Source organism: Homo sapiens, chromosome 8 (genome assembly GCF_000001405.40).
Source record: "Homo sapiens chromosome 8, GRCh38.p14 Primary Assembly".
Taxonomy (NCBI): domain Eukaryota; kingdom Metazoa; phylum Chordata; class Mammalia; order Primates; family Hominidae; genus Homo; species Homo sapiens.
Window position 1 is genome coordinate 122757757 of NC_000008.11, and position 14424 is coordinate 122772180.

General features: G+C 41.6%; 1 pseudogene, besides 5 other annotated features; it reads left to right on the plus strand.

Moving 5' to 3' along the window:
- Positions 474-768: an enhancer, noted in NCBI's record as "tiled region #2557; HepG2 Activating DNase matched - State 5:Enh". NCBI's record gives its function as "activates a minimal TATA promoter and a strong SV40 promoter by Sharpr-MPRA in HepG2 cells {active_cell/tissue: HepG2}" and the evidence as "EXISTENCE:reporter gene assay evidence [ECO:0000049][PMID:27701403]".
- Positions 474-1723: a biological region, named in NCBI's record as "hESC enhancers GRCh37_chr8:123770608-123771162 and GRCh37_chr8:123771163-123771718".
- Positions 613-1167: an enhancer, noted in NCBI's record as "OCT4-NANOG-H3K27ac-H3K4me1 hESC enhancer chr8:123770608-123771162 (GRCh37/hg19 assembly coordinates)". NCBI's record gives its function as "activates a minimal SCP1, AML or CMV promoter by ChIP-STARR-seq in naive and primed H9 embryonic stem cells {active_cell/tissue: H9 hESC(naive and primed)}" and the evidence as "EXISTENCE:reporter gene assay evidence [ECO:0000049][PMID:30033119]".
- Positions 1054-1348: a silencer, noted in NCBI's record as "tiled region #10718; HepG2 Repressive DNase matched - State 6:EnhF". NCBI's record gives its function as "represses a minimal TATA promoter and a strong SV40 promoter by Sharpr-MPRA in HepG2 cells {active_cell/tissue: HepG2}" and the evidence as "EXISTENCE:reporter gene assay evidence [ECO:0000049][PMID:27701403]".
- Positions 1168-1723: an enhancer, noted in NCBI's record as "OCT4-NANOG-H3K27ac hESC enhancer chr8:123771163-123771718 (GRCh37/hg19 assembly coordinates)". NCBI's record gives its function as "activates a minimal SCP1, AML or CMV promoter by ChIP-STARR-seq in naive and primed H9 embryonic stem cells {active_cell/tissue: H9 hESC(naive and primed)}" and the evidence as "EXISTENCE:reporter gene assay evidence [ECO:0000049][PMID:30033119]".
- Positions 11473-12562, plus strand: CDK5P1 (cyclin dependent kinase 5 pseudogene 1; annotated as a pseudogene).

Consider the following 14424-nt stretch of genomic DNA (forward strand, 5'->3'; position numbering starts at 1 on the left):
ACACATAGGATGAAGAAGAAGCTGTTGGGGGAATAATGCATTTGGCTGACTCTCAAATCCTTCTAGAAAGGAGCTCTCCACCACTCGCTTTTCTCCAGGCCCTGTCCAGGCATTGTCATTGTCCAACTCTCGTGGTTACTATGAATCTTAGAAATGGTGTGTCAGCTCCACGTTCTAAAACTTGCTTGCTCATAAAACAGATTTAAAAAAAAAATATTGCAGCACATGCTTAGTTCCAGTAGTTCCACTTCTAAGTTCCACTTCTAAGAGGCTTTTGTAGAAACTGAGCAAGAGATAACAGTAAAAAGGGAGCAAATTCAAGCACTGGGACCAAAGTTTCCTGCATTGGACATGGTCATGACAACTGATATTGGTAAGATTTAAGAGGCTGTTGTGATCTTGCCATCAGCTCTGCCATTCTACCATTCTGGGACTCTTTATGATAATAACAGCAAAGGATGATTTCAGACTCCAGGTAACAGACAAGCTGATGGTGTTGCAGATGCAATGTTGGCACTCTCCAGGCAAGCCCAGTGTTCGGTGTATAAATAGAAGGCCGAGGTCATCAGGAAGCATGCCGGGGCTGAGGTCATCCTCCCCTGACACCATCATGGCAGGCCCCAGGCGAGTGTTGGGTCCACATCTGCTCCCCACAACCAGCCTGAGTCAGGAGAACATGATAGGTGGTGAGCGGGAAGCCAGCAAGTTGACTGGAGAATATCACCTGGGAAAAAGGAAAAGCCAGCAGGATGATTCAAAAATGGCAGGCAACTATGTACTGTGGGCCAGGTGTTGCTTTAAGCTCTTTATATTAATTGCTTCATTTAACTCTCATAATCAGCATGGCTACTATTATCTCCATTTTATAGATGAGGACAAAGAAGGGGGGTAGTAATTTGCCCAAGGCAGTACACTGAAGAGTCAGGCTTCCATTCCAGGAGGTGAATCAAGAGCTCCTAAATTTAACCACCGGGCTTTACTCTATCTGTGTTCTAGCCCTCAGGGAGAAGCGAAGACTGCGAGTCATTAAATAACAATGTTTAGGCCACTTTGTTATTTCCCCTCAAAACCTCCAGCCATAGAAATCTTTTGTCTACAAGACAGCACTTATTATGTAATAATGGACTCATTGTTTTCTTTAAGTCTTCTGTGGCTTTGATCCATGCCCATCAGCATGCACCGCCCCTCCCCGCTCCCCTTACCCCCCAACACAATGCATTTTCATCAAGGACAATTGGGATTTTCACTGGGCTCTTTAACAACCTGTGAGTAATTCTCAAAGCACCCAGATCACGCTTTGGGCTCCAAACTGAGAGTCACTGGCCTAGAAGCAGAGCTCAGGTACTGTCCAGCTCTCCCTGACACACTACCAGGTCACCTTTTCCACTTAAAACCCAACCAAGTAGTGTGGGCATGATTATCTGCCTGAGAAATAGAAGTGAGACATAATGTCAACAACAACAGTTATAATTATCATTTATTAAGTGTTATGCCCCTGCAATTTAACTCTCCAAAAACCCCATGTGTTGAAAAAAGTTAGTAGGTATTATTATCCCTGTCTTTCCCATAGGAAGCAGAGAGTCAAGGAGCTGAAAATACATGCCTCAAGATCCCCAGAGAAAAAGTAGCTGAGTAAGTATTCTCATTCAGGACTGCTTAACTCCAAAGCCCTGCTCCTAACAGTGAAGCCACAGAGATTCTCCTAAGGAGTAATAAGAACGTCCCAGAAGCAGCTCAGTTCAGTAGATATTTATCGATCATATACGACATGCCCCATACCATATTAAGCCTTAGAGATTAAATAAGACAGAAATGGTCCTTGACAAATAGAGTTCAGTGAAGACAACTATGGAATTTACTCATCCAACAAATACTTATTGAGCATCTACTATATGCCAGAGCCAGACACAATTCTAAATGTTAGAAGATGCGACAGGGAACAAAAAAGGCAGGGATGCTGCCTTCATAGGTTAGGACATTTCAAAACAATGGAATTGAGCATTTTCGACAGGTAGTGAATGAGTTGAAAAAAGAAACAAGAGCCCTACACTCAGCCCCAGCTGGGATGTGCTAACTGCCTTTCCAGCCCTCCGGGGAGCCATCTCCCAGCTGAAAACCTGGCCTGCCGAGGAGTAGTCACCCACCCTGGCAGCTCCTGAGTTCCATCCTGGGAGGGGATTGAGAGGGGCTGACTGGAGTATGGTGCTATGTAGCTAATCCCCAGTTGCGCTGGGTCCTCAGAAACTCTCCAATTAACACACGGGGCCATGAAGTTCTTCTCCTCACAAGTGCTCCCAAGGAGATGAATTTTAATTCACTTTCCTTTCAAGAGTAACTGTGTTGGCAAGCAACATTTTGTCACGGGAGGATGAGCAGAAGGTGTGTTAAAGGCAACAGGATGATGTTAAATGTTTGCTCCACAATGTTTAGGAATAAGGGAAGCTTTTTTTAAATTAAGTGCCTTAGAACTGGAGGGAGGGAGGAGGGGCATGGTTGGAAGTTTTCACATGAACCAACAACAGATGTTCTGTCTACAGTCCGGGGAGTGTGAACTACCACGGAGGCTACGTGGAGCGCGTGGCATCTGTGTTTGGAAAGCTTCATAACCACCTGCTGTGAGCGGGACATGCTTCCTCAGCATCTGAGTTAGGGTCAAGGGGTCAACCTGAACTGATAAGCCCCAGTGAACATTTCTTTCAGGCTGGGCTTGAAACCTCAGAGGGCCCCATGACTAAGCGCTGGTCCTGTGTGTGCTGAGTCAGCTCAGCCATCCTCCTGCCAAGGGGCACACGTCCCAAGGCAACATGAAGTTTCCTCTTTCGAGTGAGTCCATTTGGATCAAAGTCTTCAGTAAATGGAGAAACAGGAGGTACTGCCACAGCAAACTCAAGCTGGTGCTCTGTAAATGGTGGAAGTGTAGAAACCCCGAGCTGGTCCATCCTTGTCTTTCCTGAGTATGAGGTGGAAAAACGGAAGCCCAGGAAGTTGAAATGGATTGCTTGAGGACACACAGCAGGCCACATCTGCTGAATCCTTCTTGGGGCTCTTTTCACATGTCCTACTCAAAGTTTCAAACTTTCATGGAACTTTCCAAGCTCAAACGACAAGCTTGGACACCCTGTGTCAATGCTGATTGGCATGTTTCCTTGATTGCTCTAAAAGGGATGTGAATTATGACCCTTTAAAGATCCAGATTATGCCAAAAGCAGGCCTTCCAGCCAGGATGTCCCTGAAGTGCCCAGTTCCCTCCCTAAGAGCAAATGAACATCCTTTATAAGGCACTGCTATAGCATAATCACCATCAGAGAGGCTCAAAGTGCTTATGGTAATCCTAGAAAAATGGCTTTAAAATCCCATTGTTTAGAGCTTCTGCCTGCAAGATACAACTAAAAACCCTGACTATTATATGCAAAACAAATGTTAAAAGACTCAAGCGTGGAGAGAAGGAAGTGTAGGACCTGAGGAACGACGACCAACCGGGCAGTGATTTCCCCGGGTATTCTCTTGCCTGATACACCCTGGACTTGGAGTTGAAGCCAACTACCTGCAAACACTAACAGGCACAGACAAAAAAAAGTCCCAGCAAAACTCAACCAAAACCCACTCTCTCCAGCCAAAGGACCAAGAAAGGGGCAGCCTAGCAAAACAAAAAACTTTTAGATAATAATCACTCCTCTCCAGCCAATCACCACAAAAAAACACTGTGGTCCTGCCCCCACCCAAGCCAACAAAGGCAGACTAAGGAACTGAGACTTCCATCCTTGCGGGGCTGTACTAAGGATAGTATCAGAAAAGACGAAGAAAAGATCAGGAATTTTATCACCATTCATCTCAGTGGAGACCATGTGGAGAGCCTGGACTTTCAGCTTCATCCTGCAGTAATGAGGTGTCCCTCCTCTTCCCCCTAAAGTGGTAGAGAGGTGAGAGTTTCAGCATAATCCATCAGTAACAAGGTCATCCCCATCATGGTGTCACTGGAACATCTACCCCTGCGCAGAAGTAACAGAGGCCAAGTGGAGAACCTGGACTTCCATCATCACCTGGCAGTAACAAGGCAGAGTCCCTCTTCTTTCTTCTGCCAGAGTGATGTCAGAGAAAGCCAGTTAAAACAGAAGGTTTCAATAAGATCAGAGTATCATAACCTAATCTTAAAATTCCCATGTTTCAAAAATCACTTGTCATACCAAGTACCAGGAAGATGTCAAATTGAATGAAAAAACAATCACTAGATGACAACACAGAGACGATGAAATTATGTTAGAATTCCTTGGCAATGATTTTAAAACACCCATGATAAAAATGCTTCATAGAACAAATATGAGCTTGTTGCAAACAAATAAAAAATAGAAAGCCTCAGGAAAGAAATAAAAAGTCTCCACAAAGATCTGTAAAGAATATAAAGGGAAACCCAGTGGAAATTTTAGACCTGAAGATAAAACCTCAGTGGCTGGACTCAACAGTACAGTGAAAGAGCAGAGGAAAGAATCAGTGAATTTAAACACAGAACAATCTGAACAAGAGAAAAAATAGACTGAAAAAAATTATAATAATAAAAAAAAATTCAGGGACCTGCCGGACCACAGCAAAAGATCTAACATTTGTGTCATTGGGGTTCTAGAAAGAAATGAGAAAGAGAACAGGGATGAAAGATTACCCAAAGAAATAATGGCTGAAAACATCCCAAGTTTGTGAAGAGACATAAAACTAGCGATTCAAAATGCTGAGTGAACCCCAAATAAGATCATTGTGTATGCACCAAGCAACAGAACTGCAAAACCTGTGAAGTAAAAATTAATAGAATGAAAAGGAGAACTAGATAAATCCACAATTACAGTTGGAGACTTCAACACTGTCCTCTCAATGATTAATAAAAACAATTAGACAAAAATCAAGGATATGGAACTCAAAACACTATCAACCAATAAAATCTAATAGACATAGCTGGAACACTCTTCTCAAATAACAGCAGAACACACATTTATTTGAGTGTCCATGGAATATATACCAGGATAAACCATATACTAGGCTACAAAAAAAACTTTAACAAAGTTAAAAGAATGGAAATCATAAATAGCGTATTTTCCAACCTCAGTGAAGTCAAACTAGAAATCAATTATGGTAAGATAATAGAATAATCTCTAAATGCTTAAAAACTAAGCAACACACTTCTAGATAATCCATGGGTCAAACAGAAGGTTTCAAAGGAAATTTTTAAAATTACATTGAATTGAATAAAAATTAAAATCAAACATGAAAATTTGTGAGTCACAGCTAAAGCAGTGCTGAGAGAAATTTATAGCATTAAATGCATACATTAGAAAAGAAAGAAAGAAAAGTCTCAAATTAATAACCTAAGCTTCCCTCATGAGAACCTGGAAAAAGAAAAGAAAAATAAATTCGAAGCAAGAAGAAATCAAATACTAATTGATATGGTTTGGTTATGTCCCCTCCCCAATTTCATCTTAAATTGTAGCTCTCATAATTCCCACATGTTGTGAGAGGGACCTGGTGGGAGATAATTGAATCATGGGGGCGGTTTCCTTCATATCGCTCTCAGGATAGGAATAAATCTCACAGGATCTGATGGTTTTATAAGGGGAAATCCCTTTCACTTGGTTCTCATTCTCTCTTGCCCACAACCATGTAAGAAGTCCCTTTGCTCTTTCTTCATCTTCCGCCATGACTATGAGGCCTTCCTAGCTACGTGGAACTGTGAGTCCATTAAACCTTTTTTTCTTTGTAAATTACCCAGACTCAGGTATGTCTTTATCAGCAGCATGACAATGAACTAATACACTAATATAAAACCAGAAACCAATATAATAAAATTGAAAAGAGAAAACCAACAAAGAAAAATTCAATGAAATAAGGAGCTAGTTCTTTAGAAAGAACTATACACTGAAGAGGTTCTGCACAGCAAAATAAACTATCAACCAAGTAAACAGACAACCTACAGAATAGGAGAAAATGTTTGCAAATTATACATCTGACAAAGGTCTAATATCCAGCATCTATAAAGAGCTCAAACAAATGTACATGAAAAAAACAAACAACCCAATCAAAAAGTGGGCAAAGGACATAAACAGACACTTCTCAAAAAAAGACATACATGCAACCAACAAACATGAAAACAAAAAGCTGACCATTAGAGAAATGCAAATCACTAATCATTAGAGAAATGCAAATCAAAACCACAATGAGATACCATCTTGCACAAGTCAGAATGGCCATCACTAAAAAGTCAAAAAATAACAGGTGCTGGCAAGGTTGCAGAGAAAAAGGAACACTTATACACTGTTGGTGGGAGTGTAAATTAGTTCAGCCATTGTAGAAAACAGTGTGGCAATTCCTCAAAGACCTAAAACCAGAAATACCATTCAACCCAGCAATACCATTACTGGATACCCAAAGGAATATAAATGTCCCTATCATAAAGACATATTCACACGTATGTTCATTGCAGCACTATTCACAATAGCAAAGACATGGAATCAACCTGAATGCCCATCACTGGTAGACTGGATAAAGAAAATATGGTACATATACACCAGGGAATACTATGCAGCAATAAAAACGGATGAGATCATGTCTTTTGCAGGAATGTGGATGGAGCTGGAGGCCATCATCCTTAGCAAACTAACACAGGAACAGAAAACCAAATACTACATGTTCTAACTTATAAGTGAGAGCTAAATGATGAGAACACATGGACACATAGAGGGGAACATACACTGGGACCTACCAAAAGGTGGAGGGCTGGAGGAGGGAGAGGATCAGGAAAAATAACTAATGGGTACTAGGTGTAATACCTGGGTGATGAAATAATCTGTACAACAATCCATGACAAAAGTTTACCTACATAACAAACCTGCACATGTACCCCTGACCTAAAATAAAAGTTAAAAAAAAGAAAGAAAGAGCTATACAACTGTAAAACCTCTCACAAGACTGACAAAGGAAAAACAGAGAAGACACAAATTACCAATATCAGGAATGAAACAGAGGATGTCATTACAGATCCTGAAAACATCAAAGGGATAATAAAGTAATAGTATGAATAACTCTACACCACATAAATTTAATAACTTAGACAAAATGGTCCAGTTCATCTAAAAACACAAACCACCACAGCTCACTCAATATGAAACAGATAATTTGAATAGCCCTATAATATTAAGAAAATTGAATCAATAATTTTTAAACTCCAAAAACAGAAATCTACAGGCCCAGATTGTCTCATGAAAGAATCTACCAAATGTTTGAAGAAGGATTAACTAAATTCTGTACAATGACTCCCTGAAAAGTAGAAGTGGGGACACTTCTCAATTTGTTTTATGAAGCTAGTATTACCATCATCTCGAACCCAAGGACAACACAAAAAAGAAAACTGCAGACCAATATCCCTTATGAATATGGACATAATATTAGACATAGTCATAGAAATCCTTAATAAAATATTAGCAGATAGAATTAATCAATATATGAAAAGTGTATGGTGTATACATGATCAAGGGAGTTTTATTCCACCGATGCTTGATATTTGAGAATCAATGTACAATCATGACATAGTAAACATAACCCACCACAGTAACAGGCTAAAGGAAGGTAATCATATGATTAAATCAATAAACATAGACACAGCATTTGACAAAATTCAACAGCCGTTCATAGTTAAAAAAAAAAACTCTCAGGAAATAAGAATAGTGGAGGATTTCCTCATCTTGATCAGTAGGATTTGCAAAAATCCTATAATGAATATTATGCTTAATAATGAAAGACTGAAAGCTTTCCCTCTATGATTGGGAGCAAGGAAAGTGTCCGCTCTCACCACTCTTATTCAACATAGTGCTAGAAGTCGTAGCTAGTGCAAGAAGGCAATAAGTGGTATATATTAATATATTGAAAAGAAAGAAATAATACTGTTCCTGCAGAAGACATGATTGTCTATATAAAAAAACCCCAAGGAATCTACCAAAAAAAATCCTAAAACTAATAAATGAGTTCAATAAAGTTGCAGGATACAATATAAACATAGAATCAATTATATTTTTATATATTAATACTAGCAATGAGCAAATGGATACCAAAATAAAAAATACAAATACTATTTACAATCACTCAAAACTAATACTTAGGTATAAAAATAGCAAAGCATGTAAGGACTTGTATGCTAGAAACTACACAATGCTAATGAAAAAAGTCAAAGAATATGTAAATAATGTAGAGACATATTGTATTCATGGATTAGAAGACTTAACCTAGTAAAAGTGTCAGTTGTCCCCAAATTGACATAGAGGTTAAATGCAGCTCATATCTTAATCCCAGCAAGGATTGTTATAGACCTAGACTATATTATTCTAAAATGTATAGAGACAGACCAAAAAATAGACTATCTAAAATAATCTTGAAAAAGAAGAATAAAGTGGGAGCAATAAGTTACAAGACTTATTCAGTTTCAAGACTTATATAGAGCTATGGTAATCCAAACTGTATGGTACTGGTATAGGGATACACACATAGAATAATGGAACAGAACAGAGAATTCAGAAATAGACCCACACCTGTATCCCTAACTGATTTTTGACAAAAGTGCAAAATCAATTCAATGAAGAAAAGAGTTTTCTCAATAAATGTCTGGAGCAATTGGACATCCATAGGTGAAAAAGGAACATCAACCTAAATCATATAAAAATTAACTCAAAATGGATCACAGACTTAAATGTAAAACATAAAAACTATAACACTTTCAGAATGAAACATAAGAGAAAATCTTGGCCAGACTCGGTGGCTCATAACTGTAATTCCAGCACTTTGGGAGGCTGAGGTGGGTGGATCATGTGAGGCCAAGAGTTGAAGACTAGCCTGGCCAACATGGCAAAACCCCATCTCTACTAAAAATACAAAAAGTAGCTGGACATCGTGATGCATGCCTGTAGTCCCAGCTACGCAGGAGGCTGAGGCACGAGGTTGCAGTGAGCTAAAATTGTGCCACTGCACTCCAGCCTGGGGAACAGAGCAAGACTCTGTCTCAAAAAAAAAAAAAAAAAACCTAAAAAAAGAGTGTATAAAAAATAAGAAAATCTTTAGGATCTACGGTTTAGGATCTAGGGCTAGGCAAAGAGTTTTTCGACATGATACCAAAAGTATGATATGTAAAAGGAAAATATTGAAAATCAGACTTCACCAAAATTAAAAATCTTGCTCTGTGAAAGGGCATGTCAATAGTATGAAAAAGCAACCTACAGAGTAGAGAAAATATTTGCAATCACTTGTTCAAGAAAGGACTAGTATCTAGAATAAATAAAGACTTCTCAAAACTCAACAGCATAAAAACAAATAATTCAATTAGATAATGGGCAGGAGACATTATTTTTCAGTTTCAGAGAGACACAGATGGCAAATAAACACATGAAAAATGTTCAACATCATTAGCCATTAGGGAAATGCGAATTAAAACCACAATGAGATATCACTACATACCTATGAGAAAGGCCAAAATAAAAAATAATTACAACAAAATGCAGGCAAGCTGGGTGACTCATACATTACTGGTGGAAAAGTAAAATGATACAACCACTCTGGAAAACAGTTTGGCAGTCGCTTGCAGAATTAAACATGCCCTTACCATGTGACCCAACAATCACACTCCTAGGCATTTATCCCAGATAAATGAAACCATAAGTTCATACAAAAACCTGTACACAAATGTTTATCACATCTTTATTTGTAGTAAACCCCAAATGGAAATAATTCAGATGTCATTCAACACATAAATGGTCAAACAAACTGTAATACACCCAAAACAAAGAACCAGGAACAAATTATTGAAATACGCAACAACCTGGATTTATCTCCAGAGAATAATCGGATTGAAAAAAACCCAGTCCTAAAAGATCACATACTATATAATTCCCATTTATATAAAATTAGTTTAACCATTGTGGAAGTCAGTGTGGCAATTCCTCAAGGATCTAGAACCAGAAATACCATTTGACCCAGCAATCCCATTACTGGGTATATACCCAAAGGATTATAAATCATTCTACTATAAAGACACATGCACATGTATGTTTGTTGCAGCGCTGTTCACAATAGCAAAGACTTGGAACCAACCCAAATGCCCACCAATGATAGACTGGATAAAAAAAATGTGGCACATACACACCATGGAATACTATGCAGCCATAAAAAAGGATGAGTTCATGTCCTTTGCAGGGACATGGATGAAGCTGGAAACCATCATTCTCAGCAAACTAATACAGGAACAGAAAACCAAACACGGCATGTTGTCACCCATAAGTGGGAGTTGAACAATGAGAACACATGGACACAGGGAGGGGAACATCACATACCAGGGCCTGTCAGGGGGTGGGGAGGTAGGGGAGGGAGAGCATTAGGATAAATACTTAATGCAAATGACGAGTAGATGGGTGCAGCAAACCATCATGGCACACGTATACCTATGTAATAAACCTGCACATTCTGCACATATATCCCAGAACTTAAAGTAAATTAAAAAAAAAAAAAAAAGATGTCTGAAATGACAAAATTATAGGAATGGTGAACAGATTAATGGTTGCCAGTAGTTTTGAAGGGAACAGGGATGAAGAAGTAGGAGTGGCTATAAAAGGGCAACAAGAGGTATGCTCTGCTTGTGAATATGTCATTATCTCAAAATAAAAATCTTAATTAAAAACCTAACTACAGGCCCAGCTCAGTGGCTCACGCCTGTAATTCCAGCACTTTGGGAGCCCGAGGCGGGTGGCTCATGAGGTCAAGAGATGGAGACCATCCTGGCCAACATGGTGAAACTCCATCTCTACTAAAAATACAAAAACTAGCTGGGTGTGGTGGCGGGAGCCTGTAGTCCCAGCTACTCAGGAGGCTGAGGCAGAAGAATTGCTTGAACCCAGGAGGCGGACGTTGCAGCGAGCCAAGATCACACCACTGCACTCCATCCTGGTGACAGAGCAAGACTCCATCTCAAAAAAATAAAAAATAAAAACTACAAAAAGCTCAAATTTCGAAGAAGCAAAAAAAAATTTTTTTAAAGAATGCGTCAAAAACCAGTGAAATCTAAATAAAGCCTGTACTAGTCTTCACCAATGTCAACTTCCTCCTTTTGAAAACTGTACTGTGGCTATATAAGATGTTATCGTTTAGGAAAACTGGGTGAAGGGTACATACGATCTCTATGTACTATTTTTGCAGCTTCTTATGAGTCAAACTATTTCAAAATGAAAAGTTGTCACTTAAAAAAAAACACATTTAAAATTAGCTGAGCATGGTGGTGTACAGCTGTAGTCCCAGCTACCCAGGAGGCTGAGGCAGGAGGATTGCTTGAGCCCAGGAGTTTGAAGCTGCAGGGAGCTATGATCATGCCACTGCACTCCAGCCAGGACAACACAGTGAGACCCCGTCTTTAAAGAAAAGAACAAATGAAATAAAAATTTAAAAACATTTAATATTCTTGAGTCTTAAAACCGAGAGCCCACAGGGGCCCCTGCGGCCACCGCAATGCAGAAATAAAAGAAACTGGAGAAGATTGGGGAAGGCACCTATGGGACAGTGTTCAAGGCCAAAAACTGGGAGACTCATGAGATTGTGGCTCTGAAATGGGTGAGGCTGGATGACAATGATGACGGTGTGCCGAGTTCTGCCCTCCGGGAGATCTGCCTACTCAAGGAGCTGAAGCACAAGAACATCGTCAGGCTTCATGACCTCCTGCACAGCGACAAGAAGCTGACTTTGGTTTTCAAATTCTGTCACCAGCACCTGAAAAAGTATTTTGACAGTTGCAATGGTGATCTCGATCCTGAGATTGTAAAGTCATTTCTCTTCCAGCTGCTAAAAGGCCTCGGATTCTGTCACAGCCGCAATGTGCTACGCAGGGACCTGAAGCCCCAGAACCTGCTAATAAACAGGAATGGGGAGCTGAAATTGGCTGACTTTGGCCTGTCTCGAGCCTTTGGGATCCCCATCTGCTGTTACTGAGCTGGAGTGGTCACACTGTGGTACCACCCACCAGATGTCTTCTTTGGGGCCAAGCTGTACTCCACGTCCATTGACTTGTGGTCAGCTGGCTGCATCTTTGCAGAGCTGGCCAATGCTGGATGGCCTCTTTTTCCAGGCAATGACGTCGATGACCAGTTGAAGAGGATCTTCTGGCTGCTAGGGATGCTCACCAAGGAGCAGTGGCCCTCCATGACCAAGCTGCCAGACTATAAGCTGTACCCATTGTACCCGGCCACAACATCCCTGGTGAACATCGTGCCCAAACTCAGTGCCACAGGGAGGGATCTGCTGCAGAATCTTCTGAAGTGTAACCCCTGCCAATGTATCTCAGCAGAAGAGGCCCTGCAGTACCCCTACTTTTCCGACTTCTGTCCGCCCTGGGCCCAGGGACCCCCAGCCACCAGGCTGGGGCCTGGCCTATTTAAGCCTTAGGAGGGGTGGGACAGTGGGGGTGCCCAGTGTGCTGAGCTCCAGCTGTGCTGGGCCCAGCCAGGATGGGATGCCTGAGCCCAAGTTTCTCACTTCCTTTGTGGACTTTAATTTCTTTTTTTTTTTGAGATGGAGTCTTGCTCTGTTGCCCAGGCTGGAGTGCAGTGGTGCAATCTGGGCTCACTGCAAGCTCCGACTCCTGGGTTCATGCCATTCTCCTGCCTTAGCCTCCAGAGTAGCTGGGACTACAGGCATCACACTCGGCTAATTTTTTGTATTTTTAGTAGAGACAGGGTTTCACCATATTAGCCAGGATGGTCTCGATCTCCTGACCTCGTGATCCACCCACCTCAGCCTCCCAAAGTGCTGGGATTACAGGCATGAGCCACTGCGCCCAGGCAACTTTATTTAATTTCATAAATTGGCTCCTTTCCCACACACACACACACACACACACACACACACACACACACACACGGAATTTAATATTCTTATTTTGTTACCTTTGATCAACTCTTAAAAGACCACAGGCAAATCCTTGTGCCAGTGCCTAGGTTTCCATGTGGCCACTGTGTAGATACACCCACTGCCCTGGGAAGCACACTTTCTGCTAAGTGCACATCAGTTGTCAATCAAAATCCTCAACTCACATGTGCAAGGCTTACCACTTTCTTTACTTTCTATGACGCAACTTCATTTGTATGTTAAGGTCCTATTCAGCCAATGTCGTGAAAATGATGGCAGACAGTTCAACTCCTATCCCTTGCTCATTTCCCCAGGGAGATGGTTCAGGTTCCAGGACACAGACAGAGCCTGATATCAACATGGGGGTGGGCAGTAGGGAGAGAGAGGGGGCAAGCACCCTCCTATGCTCAGAGTGTCATCTGTGCACCCTGCAATCTTGAGGATCCATCACCCCATCATTCCTCATCCACACCATTTGGATTAATGTCCTATGCCTGCTGTGAGAGATTACCACAAACGTCATGGTTGAAAATGACACAAATGTATGCTCTTATAGTTCCAGAGGTCAGAGGTCTAAAATGGGTCTCATGGGATGAAAACCAAGGTGTCCACAGGGCTGCTTCCTTTTAGGAAGCTCCAGAGGAGAGTCCATTGTCTTGCCTTTTCCTCTTTCTAGAGGCTGCGTACTTTAACAGGGTGTGGTGGCGTGCGCCTGTGGTCCCAGCTACTCGGGAGGCTGAGATGGGAGGAACACTTGAGCCTAGGAGATGGAGGTTACAGCAAGCTGAGATCATACCACTTCACTCCAGGCTGGGAGACAGAGTGAGACCCTGTCTCAAAAAAAAAAAAGTTTAAAGGCTGCCTACATTCCTCACTTGTGGCTGCATCACAGTGACCTCTTGCTTTCATGGTCATGTCTTTTTCTCTAACTCTGACCTTTTGCCTCCCTCTTATAAAGAGCCTGGTGTTCATGTTAGAACCACCGGATAATCCAGGATAATCTTCCATCTCAAGATCCTTAACTTAATTATATCTGTGAAATCCCTTTGCCGTGTAAGAGGACAGATGCACAGGTTCCAGGGACTAGGACGTGGACCTCTTTGGGGCCGTTATTCTGGTTTTTTTGTTTTTTTGTTTTTTTGAGACGGAATCTTGCTCTGTCACCCAGGCTGGAGCGCAATGGCACGATTTCAGCTCACTGCAACCTTTGCCTCCTGGGTGCAAGCGATTCTCCTGCCTCAGCCTCCGGAGTAGCTGCGATTACAGGCATGTGCCACCACGCCTGGCTAATTTTTGTATTTTTAGGACAACTGATGTGCACCTAGGCAACCTAGGCACTGGCCACCATGTTGGCCAGGCTGGTCTCAAACTCCTGACCTCATGATCCGCCCACCTTGACCTCCCAAAGTGCTGGGATTACAGGTGTGAGCCACTGCACCCAGCCTGGGGCCATTATTCTACGGACTACACAACCCTGGGCACTTGGGCTCATACCACGCTCATCCCCCACACTGG